The sequence below is a fragment of the Homo sapiens genome, chromosome 20, assembly GCF_000001405.40.
Source record: "Homo sapiens chromosome 20, GRCh38.p14 Primary Assembly".
Classification (NCBI taxonomy): Eukaryota; Metazoa; Chordata; class Mammalia; order Primates; family Hominidae; genus Homo; species Homo sapiens.
The window spans coordinates 36,697,433-36,715,071 of record NC_000020.11 but is presented as its reverse complement, the minus strand read 5'-3'; the positions used below and the strand labels follow the sequence as shown (position 1 = coordinate 36,715,071).

Genomic DNA, 17,639 nt, shown 5'->3' with positions numbered 1-17,639 from the left:
TAGATACTTAAATATAATATATATATATATATATATATATATATATATATATATATATATATATACACACACACACACACACACACACAGATATAGGATTTTCATTCTTATCCCTGGATTATCAGTTTGAACAGATTTCTACTTGAAAACAATTTGCTGGGCCTGGCGCGGTGGCTCATGCCTGTAATCCCAGCACTTTGGGAAGCCAAGGCAGGCGGATCACCTGAGGTCGGGAGTTCGAGACCAGCCTTACCAACATGGAGAAACTCCGTCTCTACTAAAAATAAAAAATTAGCCGGGCGTGGTGGCACGTGCCTGTAGTCCCAGCTACTTGGGAGGCTGAGGCAGGAGAATGGCGTGAACCTGGGAGGTGGAGCTTACAATAAGCCGAGATTGCACCACTGCACTCCAGCCTGGGCGACAGAGCAAGACTCCGTCTCAAAAAAACAAACAAACAAAAAAAAACAAAATTAGCCAGGCATGATGGCACATGCCACAGCTACTCTGGAGGCTGAGGCAGGAGAATGGCTTGAACCCAGGAGGCGGAGGTTGCTCTGAGTCGAGATCGCGCTATTGCACTCCAGCCTGGGCAACAAGAGCGAAACTCTGTCTAAAAAAAAAAAAAAAAGAAGAAAATGATTTGCTGAAGATTTTTTTTTTTTTTTTTGAGTTGGAGTCTTGCTCTGTTGCCCAGGCTGGAGTGCAATGATGTGGTCTCGGCTCACTGCAACCTCTGCCTCCCCAGTTCAAGCAATTCTCCTGCCTCAGCCTCCCGAGTAGCTGGGATTATAGGTGCCCACCACCACGCCCTGCTAATTTTTGTATTTTTAGTAGAGATGGGGTTTCACCATCTTGGCCAGGCTGGTCTCTTGGCAGGCTGGTCTCGAACTCCTGATCTCATGATCCACCTGCCTCAGCCTCTCAGAGTGCTGGGATTACAGGCATGAGCCACCGCGCACGGCCCTGCTGATGATTTTAATACACCGATTTATTATACTAGTTGATTATATGAATCTTTATTATTAAAGAAAAACTGAGTATTTTCTGAGCATATGTAACTCTTCTTGCTTGTACAATCCCCCATCTTTGTTTCCACTTTTTGTAGGGAAGGATTATCTTTTTTGTGTATGGCTTTTTAATACAAAGTCATATTTTATTCTCTTTAACAGTTTTTTATCAGCTTATTTCTAAAAGCTTTTACTATTGCACCAACTCATTTTCTCCACTTTAGTCCCTAGCATGTCAATTACGTGTAACCTTTCCTCTTTGGTATTCGTTTCTTCCTCAAATCAAGTATCTCTATTTTGAGAGGTTCATAACCTCTACAAAATGATGTTTATTGCACTCATTAAGTGTCAGGACCAGGAATAGAATGGTGAATCAGAAATGGACCTTTCCTTTAAATTCACAGAACAGGTAAATTCACCCAAAATCTCTTTCTATTGATAGTTGGTCTAAGGTCTTATCTATCTCATCTTTCAACTATCTCATCTTTCTTTACATTATGTCTGTTGCTTCTGTCTTTTGAAACTATTGATGCCTTTTGACCAGATCTCATGTTAGGAAACTACATCTCTCTTCTCCCTAGCAATGACTTGTTTTTGAAACATTTCTGCTTTTCACACCCCCCTTTTTTTTCATAATTCACTTTAATCATTGACCCGTTCCTAGTTTCTTTTTGCTTATTCTCTAAGCTTGTAACTGTGAGGCTTGCTTGCTTTAATTTACCTTCTTGGGTTGCTTTATTTACCTTTTACATATGGCCACTAAGCTCCATCAGAAAACATTCCTCTTAGCTGGCTTCTACTTTGACTGCAACTTTCAGTAATAATTAATGGCTTTCCTTGATTTTTTTCCTCTTCAAATTATTCTGTTGTTTTAATTTTTTCCTTGAATCCCTTTCTGCTGCTTAAGTCTGCTTAGTGTAAGAATTTCTCTGAATATGGAATTAATGGCATCTTCAAAATGGACAGAAAAAAAGAAAGCACCCATAGCCTGAAATTTCTAGAAGTTTTGTTAGAGTGGAACCATATACTGTGAACATCAGAGACAAACAAACTGAGGCAGGAGGATTGCTTGAGCCCAGAGGTCAAGGCTGCACTGAGCTATGATCATGCCACTGCAACTCCAGCCTGGGTGACAAAGCAAGACTCTGTCTCAGAAGGAAAAAGAAACAGGGCAGGTGCAGTGGCTCACGCCTGTAATCTCAACACTTTGGGAGGCCAAGGTGGGCAGATTGCTTGAGCCCAGAAGTTGGAGACCACCCTGGGCAACATGGTGAAACCCTGTCCCTATTAAAACTACAAAAATGAGCCAGTTATGGTGGCGTGTGCCTGTAATCCCAGCTACTCTGGAGGCTGTGGCAGGAGAATCGATGGAACTTGGCAGGCGGAGGTTGCAGTGAATGGAGATTATGCCGCTGCACTCCAGCCTGGGCAGCAGATCAAGACTCCGTCTCAAAAAAAAAAAAAAAAAAAAAAAAAATATATATATATATATATATATATATATAGCCGGGCATGGTGGCACATGCCAGTAGTCCCAGCTACTCAAGTGGCTGAAGCAGGAGGATCGTTTGAGCCTGGGAGGTCAATGCTGCAGTGAGTTGTGATCATGCGACTGCATTCCAGGCTGGCTGACAGAGCGAGACCCTATCTCAGGAAAAAAAAAAAAAAAAAGAAAAAGAAAAAGAAACAAGTCTCTAGGGAAGGGCCCCAGAAGGTACTCAGCCTTTTAGAATGCCCCCAATGAGCAGTACTGAACTTTTAATGAGTACAGAGAATAAATAATATGGCCTCAGTTAATCACAGTTGAGTGAAGGACCAGCTAATGATCCCCATTCAGAAACTCTGGAGCCAGTTACTGTCAAATAGACCCAGTCATTCCCATTTTCCAGGGTGATTACTCATGAAGCTAGAAGCCATTCTTCAAGAGGGTCTGGGATCGCTCTCAAAAAAAAACAACAACAAAAAAAACAAAAAAACAACCAGGTGCGGTGGCTCACACCTGTAATCCCCTGTAATCCCAGCACTTTGGAGACCGAGGTGGGCAGATCACGAGGTCAGGAGATCGAGACCATCCTGGCTAACATGGTGAAACCCCGTCTCTACTAAAAATACAAAAAATTAGCCGGGCGCAGTGGCGGGTGCCTATAGTCCCAGCTGCTTGGGAGGCTGAGGCAGGAGAATGGCGTGAACCCAGGAGGCGGAGCTTGCAGTGAGCCAAGATCGTGCCACTGCAACTGCAGCCTGGGCGACAAAGCGAGACTCCGTCTCAAAAAAACAGCCAGGAAAACAAGTGCTAAATAGTCTTCACTCAGTTATTGGTACCTTTTATCTGGGAGTATAGCTAGGAACATGGGATTGAGAACACAGAGTTGTTTTTTGCTCGGTACTCAACAAATAAGACATAGCTTGAGGTTCTTGAGGGCATTGGCTTTCTGCTTTTGGCATGCCCCTTTGTGCTCATGTCAGGGACCGAGGGCTTTACAGAATGCCTCATGGTCATGGTCACATCATTGTAAGAAGGGAGAATTCATGGATACAATGACAGCTGCTTCCCAAAGAGCTCGTCAGAATTTGTGGCTCTATATTCTATGAGATTTTAATTCAATCTAGAGTGATTTTTTCTAATCTTAAAATAATCCCTAAAGGAACCTTTGGGAATTCTGTTAGATTGAAGCCCTAATATGGTCTGTTTAGGCATCATTATAAATCATTCCTTAAAAGGTTAGGTCAATCTTTACATTTTTGTATTTATTTATTTATTTATTTATTATTATTATTTTTTTTTTGAGACGGAGTCTCGCACTGTCGCCCAGGCTGGAGTGCAGTGGCGTGATCTCTGCTCACTGCAAGCTCCGCCTCCCGGGTTCACACCATTCTGCCTCAGCCTCGTGAGTAGCTGGGACTACAGGCGCCTGCCACCACGCCCGGCTATTTTTTTTTTTTTTTTTAGTAGAGATGGGGTTTCACCGTGTTACACAGGATGGTCTTGATCTCTTGACCTCGTGATCCACCCGCCCCGGACTCCCAAAGTGCTGGGATTATACGGGTGAGCCACCACGCCTGGCCCTTATTTATTTATTTTTTTGAGATGGAGTCTTGCTCTGTTGCCCAGGCTGGAGTGCAGTGGCGCCGTCTCAGCCCACTGCAACCTCTACCTCCCAGGTTCAAGTGATTCTCCTGCCTGAGCCTCCCAAGTAGATGGGACTACAGGCACGCTCCACCATGCCTGACTGACTTTTTTTTTTTTTTTTTGAGACGGAGTCTCACTCTGTAGCCCAGGCTGGAGTGCAGTGGCACGATCTCAGCTCACTGCAACCTCCGCCACCCGGGTCCCGGTTCAAGCAGTTCTCCTGCCTCAGCCTCCCGAGTAGCTGGGATTACAGGCACGTGCCACCATGCCCAGCTAATTTTTGTATTTTTAGTAGAGACAGTGTTTCACCATATTGGCCAATCCTATCTTGAACTCCTGACCTCATGATCTATCCGCCTCGGCTTCCCAAAGTGCTGGGATTACAGGCATGAGCCAACGCACCTGGCCCTTTAAATCTTATATTACAAAATACTAAATTGGGTATTTTTTTAGGGTTTTCTAGACCCTTTTTTTCTAGTTTTCTAATTTCAGAAAGGGAAATACATGCTCATTGTACATAATATGAAGAAAATTATAATCACCCATAACCTCTCTCTGCAGAAGCAGCTGCTATTGTTAATGTTTTTGTCTTTTATTTGTTTATTTATTTATGAGACAGGATCTCACTTTGCACCCAGGCTGGAGTGCAGTGGTGCGATCTCGGCTCACTGCAGCCTTGACCTCCTGGGCTCAAGTGATCCTCCCACCTCAGCCCCTCAAGTAGCTGGGACTATAAGCATGCACTACCACGCTCAGCTAATTTTTTTTTGCATTTTTTATAGAGATGGGATTTCGCCATGTTGCCTAGGCTGGTCTTGAACTCCTGAGCTCAAGTGATCTGCCTGCCTCAGCCTCCCAAAGTGATAGGATTATAGGCATGAGCCACTGTGCCCGGCCTTTTAGTCTTTTTTAATGCATATTTTAATGTAGCCAAGGTCAAACTGTAAAGACTATTTTGTATCCTACTTTCTTTTCCCTCTTACTAACCATACATATCTTAAGCTGGAATGCAGTAGAAGTTTTTTTTTTTAACCCAAAATTTTAACAGAATTTCCTCAACATTTAATTTTTTTATATTGGCTTATTTGTTTTATAAATCTGTATCAAGCACCTGATTTACACCAGGCCCTGTGCTATATTTGGAGGAAGGTACAAGTTGAATCAGGAACCAGAAACTCACTGGCTGGCCATTTATATCCTACAAAAACCATCTATCCTAATCCATGAGAGGACCCTTTCTTTTGCTTCTCATAGTCTATCTGTAAATTAAACACAATGATTTCTCTGAAGAAGTCCTCAGACATTTCTTAGGGCTAGTAGGAGCCATGGAACATTATGCTCCTTTTAATCAATAGCAACATTCCTTGGAAATGTGCTGCCCAGTCCCATCTGCACAGTATCTTAGTTGTCTTTCCATACTGTGACTGTATCAGACTTTTTGTGAATTCGGTTTCGTGTTAGGAATAATATTTTACTGTCTCTACCATTCTCTTGCCCATTCTCAGTGGCATCTGCAGTCTCTCTATGATTGGTAATCTGTTGTGACTTTACTGCCACCTTTAGAAAGTCAGGGGCTGCTCTTTCATAACGTTATTCCTTCAGAAGCTTTTGGCTTCCAGATCAGTGCTGTCCAGTAGAACTTGCTGCAGTCATGGAAATGTTCTGTGTCTGTACTGCCCAAGAGTATGAGCACTTGAGATATGGCTAATGTAACTGAGAAACTGAGATTTTATTTTATTGAATTTAAACTTAAATTGTACATATGGCTAACGGCTACCGTACTGGATAGTGCAGCTCTAGATAGTCCCTCTTATGGAGTGGATAGTTTGTTTCTTTGGGTGTTTATACCACACTGGGCTGTGATTTATTTAGTTATTTACTTATTTTTTAATTTTTTTGAGACAGTTTCACTCTTGTTGCCCAGGCTGGAGTGCAATGGCATGATCTCAGCTCACTGCAACCTCCGCCTCCCTGGTTCAAGCAATTCTCCTGCCTCAGCCTCCCAAGTAGCTGGGATTACAGGCATGCACCACCACACCTGGCTAATTTTGTATTTTTAATAGAGATGGGGTTTCTCCATGTTGGTCAGGCTGGTCTCATACTCCCAACCTCAGGTGATCCGCCCGCCTTGGCCTCCCAAAGTGCCGTGCTGGGATTACAGGCGTGAGCCACCGCGCCCGGCTTGGGCTGTGCTTTTTAACCTCTCTTTTGTCCAGCCAGCAGTGTAGTTGGTGGGATCCCAAAGAACTATTTCTTTTTTTCTTTTTCTTTTTTTTTTTTTTTTTTTGAGACGGAGTCTCGCTCTGACACCCAGGCTGACACGCAATGGCTCAATATCGGCTCACCGCAACCTCTGCCTCCTGGGTTCAAGTGATTCTCTTGCCTCAGCCTCTCAAGTAGCTGGGATTACAGGCGCCTCCATGCCCGGCTAATTTTTGTAGTTTTTTAGTAGAGATGAGGTTTCACCATGTTGGCCAGGCTGGTCTCAAACTCCTGACCTTGGGTGATCCACTTCCCTCAGCCTCCCAAAGTGCTAGGATTACAGGCATAAGTCACCGTGCCCGGCCCTGAAGAACTATTTCTAGGAGGATCATCTTGAAGGGAGATGGGACTACTCAGTATTTTTTGGGGATCAGATATCTGGAGTATCTCTGGAGGGGCAGCTTTTGGGAAGCTGTTAGGAACCTTCTAGAAGTCATTGTAGAGACAGAATAAATAGTTGTGATAAATCAGTTTCTACATAATGGGAGACTTTTTTCAGGAAGGGGGTTACACTTTGTGAAAAATCAAGTAGAAGTTTTCTTTTATTCCCAAATACATCACTTGTTACCTTTTTTTTTTTCCTTTTTTTGAAATGGAGTCTCACTCTGTTGCCCAGGCTGGAGCACAGTGGTGCGATCTCAGCTCACTGCAACCTCCGCCTTCCAGTTTCAAGCAATTCTCCTGCCTCGGCCTCCCAAGTAGCTGGGATTACAGGTGCACACCACAACACCCGGCTAATTTTTGTATTTTTAGTAGAGACGGGGTTTCACCATGTTGGCCAGGCTGCCCACAAACTCCTGACCTCAGGTGATCTGCCTGCCTCAGCCTCCCAAAATACTGGGATTACAGGTGTGAGCCACCACACTCGGCCCCTTTTTTATACTCTTATGACTTGCAATTCTGGCATCTGGAATGCTGGAAAAATGCTTCTGAGTTATTGCCATTGATTTTTTTTTCCTCAATCAGTCATTATTATAATATAATCCCTTTTTAGAAGCTTGGTGAATTCTCCATCGATTTTTTGACTGTGTTTGACTTTTTAAATGATTCAATGACTTGTCCTTTTTCCCTATCAGCGATTTCATAGGATGCAACAGATAGGCCAGTGTATTAAGAACCTTGTTTTGTCTTTCTTTCCCTCCTTCAGTAACACTGCCTTTCTTCTCTGTTAGATTTCAAGGCTTTCATTTCTGATCCATCCATATCTTTGTCCTCTTCCTGATCCTTTATTTAATTCCTGGTTCTGCACCTGTTCTCCTTCACCTTTCTCAGCTTTGGTCTCCAACTCCTTTCCTCCCAGGTACTTCCCTTGTGTGTTCAAGGTGTGCTTCCAGACTGTGGTCCATGTTTTACCCTCTTCCTGCAAATTCTCACCGCTCTCCTTAGGTAGGAAGGCAAGAAGTTACAAGCTTGCTAGAAAACTAGGCCCCTTTCCTTTATCTTCTCATAAGCCCACTAAAGCATAATCTCACCTCTGAAGATTTGGCCTTTATTAACACATGTTCATAACCCACTCTGCCTCTGAAACCTTCTGATGAGAACTATTTCAGTTTTATGGCAACCAAGAGGCTGCACATGCACTGCTGTCACTGTGAACTGAATGTGCTGCACATGTGGGGAAACCATGTGGGGAAACTGACTGTGTTTTCTGTCTTCTGTTGACAGAATGGTACAAGAAACTTCCAGGACTTTGACTGTCAGGTAAGGACTGTACAAGCAAGAAGGAGGCTCTGTACAGGATCTCTGCAGTGTTTCCTTTCCTGTGGTGGTGGTCTTGTAGAAGTGGATCTCTCATTATAGCTAATAATGAGTCCTTAATGTTCGTTTGGTCATTGGATCAAGTTCACTTAAAATGATTTGCAATTGTTGGCCACTGGCATGGGGGCTCATACCTATAATTCCAGCACTTTGAGAGGCCAAGGCAGACAGATCACTTGAGGTCAGGAGTTTGAGACCATACCGGCCAACATGGTGAAAACTCATCCTACTAAAAATACAAAAATTAGCCAAGCGTGGTGGTGCATGCTTGTAATGCCAGCTACTCAGGAGGCTGAGGCAGGAGAATCACTTGAACTCAGGAGGCAGAGGTTCAGTGAGCCGAGATCGTGCTACTGCACTCCAGCCTGGGTCATAGAGTAAGACTCCATCTCAAAAACAAACAAACAAACAAAAAAACTGATTTGCTATCGTGTTCAGAAATTGCCTGCCAGGTACCTGTTTTATGATTGTAGGTTACTGAATAGAGCTGTTTCTTTGTGATTAAGATCTCTTTTCCTCACATGATATTGGAAACCTCATTTGTCATAGGTGGCAAATGGAGGGTTGCTACCTTACCGCAGAGAAGATAGGAGAAGGGCAGATGGAGGAGAGATTTCTTGACAGTAAAATCTTTCCCTAAAAGAAATCTTTCCCTAAATTGTTATGAATACAATATGCAGATTTCTCTTGGGTTTATGTTTGGAAATGCAAAATTCAACTTGACTCATTAGTGTTTTCTAAATGAAACTGTTCTTCCTGGTCTGCTTTTGCATCACCTCTGTTGCCAGTTTGAAAATCAGTAAAATGAACCAGCAGTTCTCCATCTACCTCTTCTATCTGTTGACTGGTCCTGAAAGAAATGGGACTAAGGACCGGACACAGTGGCTCATGCCTGTAATCTCAGCACTTTGGGAGGCTGAGGTGGGCAGATCACCTGAGGTCAAGTGTTCAAGACCAGCCTGGCCAACGCAGTGAAACCCCATCTCTACTAAAAATACAAAAATTAGCTGGACGTGATGGTGCGTGCCTGTAATCCCAGCTACTCAGGAGGCTGAGGTGGGAGAATTGCTTGAACCTGGGAGGCAGAAGTTGCAGTGAGCTAACACCACCACACTTCAGCCTGGGCAACAGAGTGGGACTCTGTCTCAAAAAAATAATAATAAATAAATAAGAAAAAGAAAACATGGGAGTAAGAAATAAGTACATGGAACTGGAAACCTTATAAGCTGGGCAGCCTGACCCTCCCACTTTTGGGATAGATGCCATAGCAGTAACAGAAGTGACATGAAGTAGACCCAGAGGGTACTAGCAGTAAAGGAGGGTGCTGGCAACGTCCTTGCTTCCAGTATTCAGCCAACCTGTATACCCCCCAGCAAATAGTTATTTTCAAATATGCGTTTTATGTTAAGTACAGTGGAATCTCTAAGCATTAGCATCAGAAGAAAGAACTATTTATAAGCAAACCAGTTATAATAATTTGAGTACCTACTGTAGGGTACCTACTAAACATACAGTATCTTCAATACTTAGAGCAATATTACAAGATGGGTTTTTTTTCTTTTCTTTTCTTTTCTTTTCTTTTTTTTTTTTTTTGAGACAGAGTCTTGCTCAGTCGCCCAGGCTGGAGTGCAGTGGCGTTGATACTGGCTCACTGCAGCCTCTGCCTCCTGGATTCAAGCGATTCTCCTGCCTCAGCCTCCAAGTAGCTGGGATTACAGGAGCCCGCCACCACACCTGGCTAATTTTTTTTAATTTTTAGTAGAGACGGGGTTTCACCATGTTGGTCAGGATGGTCTCGAACCCCTGACCTCAAATGATTCACCCACCTCAGCCTCCCAAAGTGCTGGGATTACAGGCATGAGCCACCACACCTGGCCAAGATGGTTTTTCTTGTTTCTGTTTTATAGTCAGGAAATTAAGAATTAAGTTTTATAACTTGCCATTGAGTGGTTGGGATTGAAAAACCCCATTCTTCCTGAATCCGTTGCCCATTTTTTCCCACCTGGACATGTCCAGAGGGGAAATGAAATGTAAGGAATTAATTGTCCTTAAAGCTGAGGTTCCTTGGAAGAACAGATGAGACTCACCTTGGAAGGGTCAGGCTCATAGTACAGTTACAGATTTCTGAATCTCAGTTCCAAACTCGTTTGTAATAACTATTTGGTACTTTGTATATAGAACATTATCAGCCTAGTGCTGATACAGTCATTCACTGTAGGCAATGGCTCCTTTCCTCTAAAACAATAAGTTACGTTATTTTTTAATAAATAGTGACAGTCAAGTTTGGGTTGGATTGTTTTTAATTTGATCTAACTTCAGTTATGGTTTGGATCCTAGGTTGAACCAGTAGAGCTTGATTACTGTTAATATTTGATATAATTTACCAAGAAGGAAAACATTAGAGAGAGGGTGACAGTAAAATTCAAGGTGAGGAACTCCAGAAATAGTATATGTATACATGTATACTCCTGCCCCAAAGTGTAGAAGTATTAATTTTCATCAAATTCAGCACCTCCTCCGAAGTAAGAAAATTAGAATATAGTGGGGTGCGGTGGCTAACGCCTGTAATCCCAGCACTTTGGGAGGCTGAGGTCAGGAGTTCACGAGGTCAGGAGTTCAAGACCAGCCTGGCCAACATAGTGAAACCCCATCTCTACTAAAAATACAAAAATTAGCCAGGCATGGTGGTTTGCGTCTGTAATCCGAGCTACTCAGGAGGCTGAGGCAGGAGAATTGCTTGAATCCAGAAGGCGGAGGCTGCAGTGAGCTGAGATCCTGCCACTGCACTCCAGCCTGGGCAACAGAGTGAGACTCCATCTCAAAGAAAAAAAGGAAAAAAAGAGAAAAAATTAGAATATAAAAGATTACATACTTGTTGCAAAATAAATGAGAAAACACCAAAAAGTAAATAAATAAAAATCACCTGCTATTTCACTAGTGTTAATATTTTGGCATATGTCATTTGAGATTTTTTTTCCATACATATATATAATTGTAGATATGAAATTGAGTTTTAGAAATATAATTATGAGTCACTTTTTAATATTAAGGCTTAAAAATAGTCTGGCAAAAATTCTTGATACTTTGGGTAAAGCTTTAAAATAGTAACATGTTCCGGCCTTGTGAAATAGAACTTTTAGTTCTGTTCTGATACAAACAGAAAGGCTGGGTGCTATGGCTCATGCCTGTAATCCCAGAGCTTTGGGAGGCTAATGCAGGAGAATTGTGTGAGCCCAGGAGTTTGAGAACAGCCTGAGCAACATAGGGAGACCCCCTTCTCTACAAAAAATTAAAAAATAAAAAATTAGCTGGGCACGATGGCATGCGCCTGTAGTCCCAGCACTTTGGGAGGCTGAGGCAAGCGGATTGCTTGAGCCCAGGAGTTTGAGACCAGCCTAGGCAACATAGTGAGACCCCAGTCTTTCTCTCTATATATTACACACACACACACATATAGATAGATAGATAGATAGATAGATAGATAGATAGATAGGATATTACATATATATATATTTAGAGACGAGGGTCTCACTATGTTGAGTATATATGTATATATATATGTGTGTGTGGGTATATATATCCACACACATACATGTAAACTATATAGATATATTACAGATAACTATAGCATCTGTCCCAACACTCTCTAATATACATGTATATGATATACATATATACACGTGTAGTATACATATATGTATATTAGAGACAGCATTGAGACAGATGCTGTAATTTATATGTGTATATGATATATTGCTTTAGATAAATAACACTTATTTTGTGTATAATCAGAAACAAATTTAGAAAACTTAGAAAAGCATAAAAATAAAGATTGCTTATAATTCTGCGGGTAGATCACCTGAGATCAGGAGTTCGAGACCAGCCTGGCCAACATGGTGAAACCCTGTCTCTACTAAAAATACAAAAATTAGGCCAGGTCTGGTGGCTCACAACTGTAATCCCAGCACTTTGGGAGGCTGAGGTGGGCAGATGACCTGAGGTCGGGAGTTCAAGACCAGCCTGACCAGCATGGAGAAACCCCGTCTCTATTGAAAATACAAAACTAGCCAGGCATGTGCATGCCTGTAATCCCGGCTACTTGAGAGGCTGAGGCAGGATGATTGCTTGAACCTGAGAGGTGGAGGTTGAGGTGAGCCGAGATCGCACCATTGCACTCCAGCCTGGTCAACAAGAGCGAAACTCCATCTCAAAAAAAAAAAAAAATTAGCTGGGCATGGTGGCAGGTGCCTGTAATCCCAGCTGTTTGGGAGGCTGAGACAGGAGAATGGCTTGAACCCGGGAGGCAGAGTGTGCAGTGAGCTGAGATTGAGCCTTTGCACTGCAGCCTGGGTGACAGGAGTGAAACTCTGTCTCAAAAACAAACAAACAAAAATCTTGTATAACAAAAACTATACCCAGGCCTCATACAGTAGCCTGCTTATTGGAAACAATAACAGTTCATACTAATAAAAATATTGGGGCCGGGCGCGGTCGCTCACGCCTGTAATCCCAGCACTTTGGGAGGCCGAGGTGGGCGGATCATGAGGTCAGGAGATCGAGACCATCCTGGCTAACACGGTGAAACCCCATCTCTACTAAAAATACAAAAAAATTAGCCGGCATAGTGGCGGGCACCTGTGGTCCCTGCTACTTGGGAGGCTGAGGCAGGAGAATGGCGTGAACCCAGGAGGCGGAGCTTGCAGTGAACCAAGATCACGCCACTGCACTCCAGCCTGGGCCACAGAGCAAGACTCCGTCTCAAAAAAAAAAGTTGACATTTCCCAGAGTATGTTGTCATGCAAATATAACTAAACTAGTTCAGACTAGCCAGAAAGAGGAAGAAATAGTAACAGGCATGAAATGATCATGATTTAGTGATTTAGCATGATTTAGTTAAGTTTAGAAATATGGGACAAGTCAGATCGTGTCATTCCAGTGACAACACATTTATTGAAGTCAGAGGGCTCAAGAAAAAAGTGAAAGTTGGTTATTAAATAATGGTAATATCTTAAACTCTTACATTCTTAAAAGGCTTTTTTTTTTTTTTTTTTAAAGATGCAGGGTCTCAGCTGGGCACAGTGGCTCACGCCTGTAATCCCAGCACTTTAGGAGGCCGAGGCAGGTGGATCACCTGAGGTCAGGAGTTCGAAACCAGCCTGGCCAACATGGAGTAACCCTGTCTCTATTAAAAAATACAAAATTAGCCAGGCATGGTGGCGCATGCCTGTAATCCCAGCTCCTCAGTAGGCTGAGGCAGGAAAATTGCTTGAACCCAGGAGGCGGAGGTTGTGGTGGGCTGAGATCGCACCATTGCACTCCAGCCTGGGCAAAAAGAGCAAAACGCCATCTCAAAAAAAAAAAAAAAAAAAAGATACAGGGTCTTACTTTGTCACCCAGGCTGGGGTGCAGTGACGTGATTATAGCTCACAGTAACCTCGAACTCCTGGGCTGAAGCAATCTTCCCGCTTCAGCCTCCTGAGTAGCTGGGACTACAGGCACATGCCACCGTGCCTGGCTAATTAGAAAATATATATATTTTTTGTAGAGATGGGGTCTTGCTCTGTTGCTCAGACTGGTCTTGAACTCCTGGCCTCAAGTGATACTCTCACCTTGGCTTCCCAGAATGCTAGGATTACAGACCTGAGCCATCCTGCCTGACCTTAAAAAGACCTTGTGTTTAAGACTACAGCTTTCATTAGGTGGGAGAGACAGTCCAGAATAGAGAAGTATGTCAAGGACCTTTATGATTTCATGTTGTTTTATAAACATGGAGAATAAAGGGATTATGTTCAAGAAGTGCATAGCCTTGGAGGTAATAAATAATCAGTAAGTACTGGGAGAGCCGGGGAATGGTGGCTCATGCCTATATTCCCAGCACTTTGGGAGGCTGTGGCAGGAAGATCACTTGAGCCCAGGAGTTTGAGATCAGCTTGGGCAATATAGGGAGACCCCATCTCTGCAAAAAATTTAAAAATTAGCTGGGTATGATGGCAAGCATGTGTGCTCCAAGCTACTTGGGGGGCTGAGGTAGGAGGATCATTTGAGCCCAGGAGTTCAAGATTACAGTGAGCTATGATCACACCACTGGACTCCAGCCTAGGAGACAATGACGAGACCCTGTCTCAAAAAAAAAGAAGAAAGAAAAGGAAAAGCAAAGAAACTGCTGGGAGAGATGGGAGAGATCTATGACCAGAGCCTATCAGATGCTCCCTTAGACTGTGCTCTTTGAGCACAGGCTCATTGTGTAGTCACACTCTAGAATGCTGGGGTGGGAGATGAGATAACTGGATAGAGAGCCTGTAAAACAGATGATAATTGACTAAGACAAAAAGGTAGCAACAGCACGTTACTCCCTGCAGTGGCCTGACAACTGAATCAGCTCCTTAGCCAGGGTCTCTGCACATTCATCTTCAGATGGAGTTTTTTTCAAGCTGTTCATTCACAAGGTCACGAAAAATATGCATGCCAATCACCATGGAGGTGAGTGCTTCCTTTCTTTTTGTTTTTTATTCTGCTAAGCATATTTACATTCACATACTTTGAAAATGAAGAACTTTGAGACATTGACAACTAGGGGCTGCTCCAAATAGGGCAATGATCAGGGCCTAGGACTCTTGGATACTTTTGTTGTTACATGACTTGAGGGCATATTATGGCATGGTAGGGGCTGAGATATCCCTAAAAAGTTGAAATTTTGTAAGGAGCCAATTTTACTTTTGAATATCATCCAGATTATGAAATGGCAACAAAGTAGTAACTTTGCCCTATTCCTTCATCTACTTTTTTTTTTTTTTTTTTTTTGAGACTGATTGTCACTCTGTCACCCAGGCTGGAGTGCAGCGGTGTGATCTTGGCTCACTGAAACCTCCGCCTCCTGGGTTCAAGCAATTCTCCTCCCTCCTGAGTAGCTGGGATTACAGGCGCTTGCCTCCGCGCCTGGCTAATTTTTGTATTTTTAGTAGAGACGGGTTTCACCATGTTGGTCAGGCTGGTCTTGAATTCCTGACCTCGTGATCCGCCTGCCTCAGCCTCCTAAAGTGCTGGGATTTTACAAATGTGAGCCACCGTGCCCGGCCTCCCTCATCTACTTTTAAAGTATTGTCTTTTACCCCCACCTGTTATATCTCCCTTTTTACCATCCTTCTCCTGACCTTCCCTGGCAGCTCACTGTCTCATCCCCATCCACCTCCTGTGTGTACCCACACACACACACACACACACCCTACCACCACCACCACCACCACCAGTTACCATCAGTTACCGGGCCTTGGCAAGGTCCTGCTATGCGTAGAGCCAGAGTATAAACTGGTGTTTCCCTCAGTTCTCAGCAGTGGCCAAACTGGAATCTTTAAGCAGGACCCTACTGAAGGTTTGAGTTTGACAGAAGACAGGTTCCAGCAACCAGATTGTCAAGGTGACAAGTTGTCGGACGCTCTCTTTAACTTGGATTTGCCTGTAGTGTCACTCCATATGGCAGACACTTTCTCCTTCTCTCCCTTTTTCTTGCTGCCTCCCCCCGCTTTATTCTTTATATCTCTCAAGAAACAAAACATGAGAGATATTGAAACCTCCTTTAGTTCTCTTTAATAATTTATCCATTCCCAGAAGGAAACAAAGTTCTAAAGTTAGTGTACCTTGTTTCTCCTCCAAGTTTTTATACTTTAGTTATAGGCTGGCTGTGCTGGCTCATGCCTGTAGTAGCGCTTTGGGTGGCTGATTTGGGACAATCACTTGAGGCCAGGAATTCAAGACCAGCCTGGGCAAATATGGAGACCCCGTCTCTCCAAGAAATCTAAAAAATAAAAATTAGCCAGGTGTAGCAGTATGCGCCTGTAGTCCTAGCTACTTGGGAGGCTGAGGTGAGAGGATTGCTTGAGCCCAGGAGTTCTATGCTGCAGTGAGCTATGATCACATCACTGCACTCTAGCCTGGGCACTAGAATGAGATCCTGTCTCTAAATATATATGTGTACGTATATGTATGTATACATATATATAAATAAACAGAATCTATAGTGTTGCTTTTTAAAATATTGGCATAAGTGGTATATTTTTAATATATATCCTTTTGCATCTTGCTCTTTTACATTTTTTTGAAGATTTTCTGTGTGTATTAATGCTAATAATTCTAGTTCATTTTTATCTGTATGTCATTATATGAATAAATCGTAATTCATTTATTAATTTCCCCATTGATGAATATTTGGGCTGTTTCCAGTTTTTTTGACATTATAGAGAAGGTTGTGATGTTTACACCCTTGACCAACACAGGTTTGAACTGTATAGGTTCACTTATACATGGCTTTTTTTTCAATACATAAATTGGATTTTTTTTTTTTTAAGAAAGGGTCTTGCTCTGTCACCCAGGCTGGAGTGCAGTGGCAAGAACATGGCTTACTGTAGCTCAAGTGATTTTCCTACCTCAGCCTCCAAGTAACTGGGACCACAGGCATGCACCACCAGGCCTGGCTATTTTTTAAAAATTTTTTGTAGAGACAGGGTCTCACCATGTTGCCCAGGCTGGTCTCAAACTCCTGGGCTCGAGCAGTCCTCCTACCCCAGCCTCCCAAAGTGCTGGGATTACAGGCATGAGCCACCACACACAGTCAGAAAGCTTCCGGAGATTTGTAGCAATATGAAAAAACCCACAGCGGGGCAGGATGGCTCATGCCTATAATCCCAGCACTTTGGGAGGCCAAGGCAGCCAGGTCACCTGAGTTCAGGAGTTTGAGACCAGCCTGGCCAACATGTTGAAATGGTATCTCTACTAAAAATACAAAAAATCAGCCAGGTGTGGTGGCGTGTGCCTGTAGTCCCAGCTACTCAGGAGGCCAAGGCAGGAAAATCACTTGAACCCAGGAAGTGGAAGTTGCAGTGAGCTGAGATCGGGCCACTGCATTCCAGCCTGGGTGACAGAGCAAGACTCTGTCTCAAAAAAAAAAAAAAAAAAAAGAAAAAAGAAAAAAACTCGCAAATTATGTAACCTAGAACTATTGGAAACATTCGGAAAAAGGTATGTCATGATTGTATAAACTATATGTAGACATTAGTCTATTTTATCATTTACTAACATAAAATATACACAAATCTATTACAAAAAGTTAAAATTTATGCACACACTTATAGATCATACATGGCACCATTCATGGTTGAGAGAAATGTAAACAAATGTAAAGATGCAGTATTAAATCTTTTTTTTTTTTTTTTGAGACAGAGTTTTGCTTTTGTTGCCCAGGCTGGAGTGCGATGGCACGGTCTTGGCCCACTGCAACCTCCGCCTCCCGGGTGCAAGCGATTCTTCTGCCTCAACCTCCCAAGTAGCTGGGATTATAGGCACCCGCCACCACGCCTGGCTAATTTTTGTATTTTTTAGTAGAGATGGGGTTTCGCCATACTGGCCAGGCTGGTCTCAAACTCCTGACCTCAGGTGATCCACCAGCCTCAGCCTCCCAAAGTGCTGGGATTACAGGTGTGAGCCACTGC

General features: G+C 43.1%; 1 protein-coding gene across 10 annotated transcripts in view; it reads left to right on the top strand.

Annotated features, from left to right (window-relative positions):
- NDRG3 (NDRG family member 3) overlaps positions 1-17,639 on the top strand; it is a 94,320-nt gene that overhangs the window by 31,019 nt on the left and 45,662 nt on the right. For 6 of the 10 annotated variants that reach the window (NR_038370.2, XM_011528928.4, NM_032013.4 and 3 more), the window contains exon 3: positions 8,065-8,100. The exons of 2 other annotated variants lie outside the window; for them this stretch is intronic. Coding sequence is in view for 7 of the 8 variants with exons in the window: in XM_011528928.4 (XP_011527230.1) it covers positions 8,065-8,100 (36 nt within the window). In the remaining variant the exon portion in view is untranslated. Of the gene's footprint in view, positions 1-8,064; positions 8,101-14,463; positions 14,638-17,639 lie in introns of those variants that run through there. 2 more of the 10 variants (XM_017027980.3, XM_006723838.5) reach the window with 1 other exon arrangement.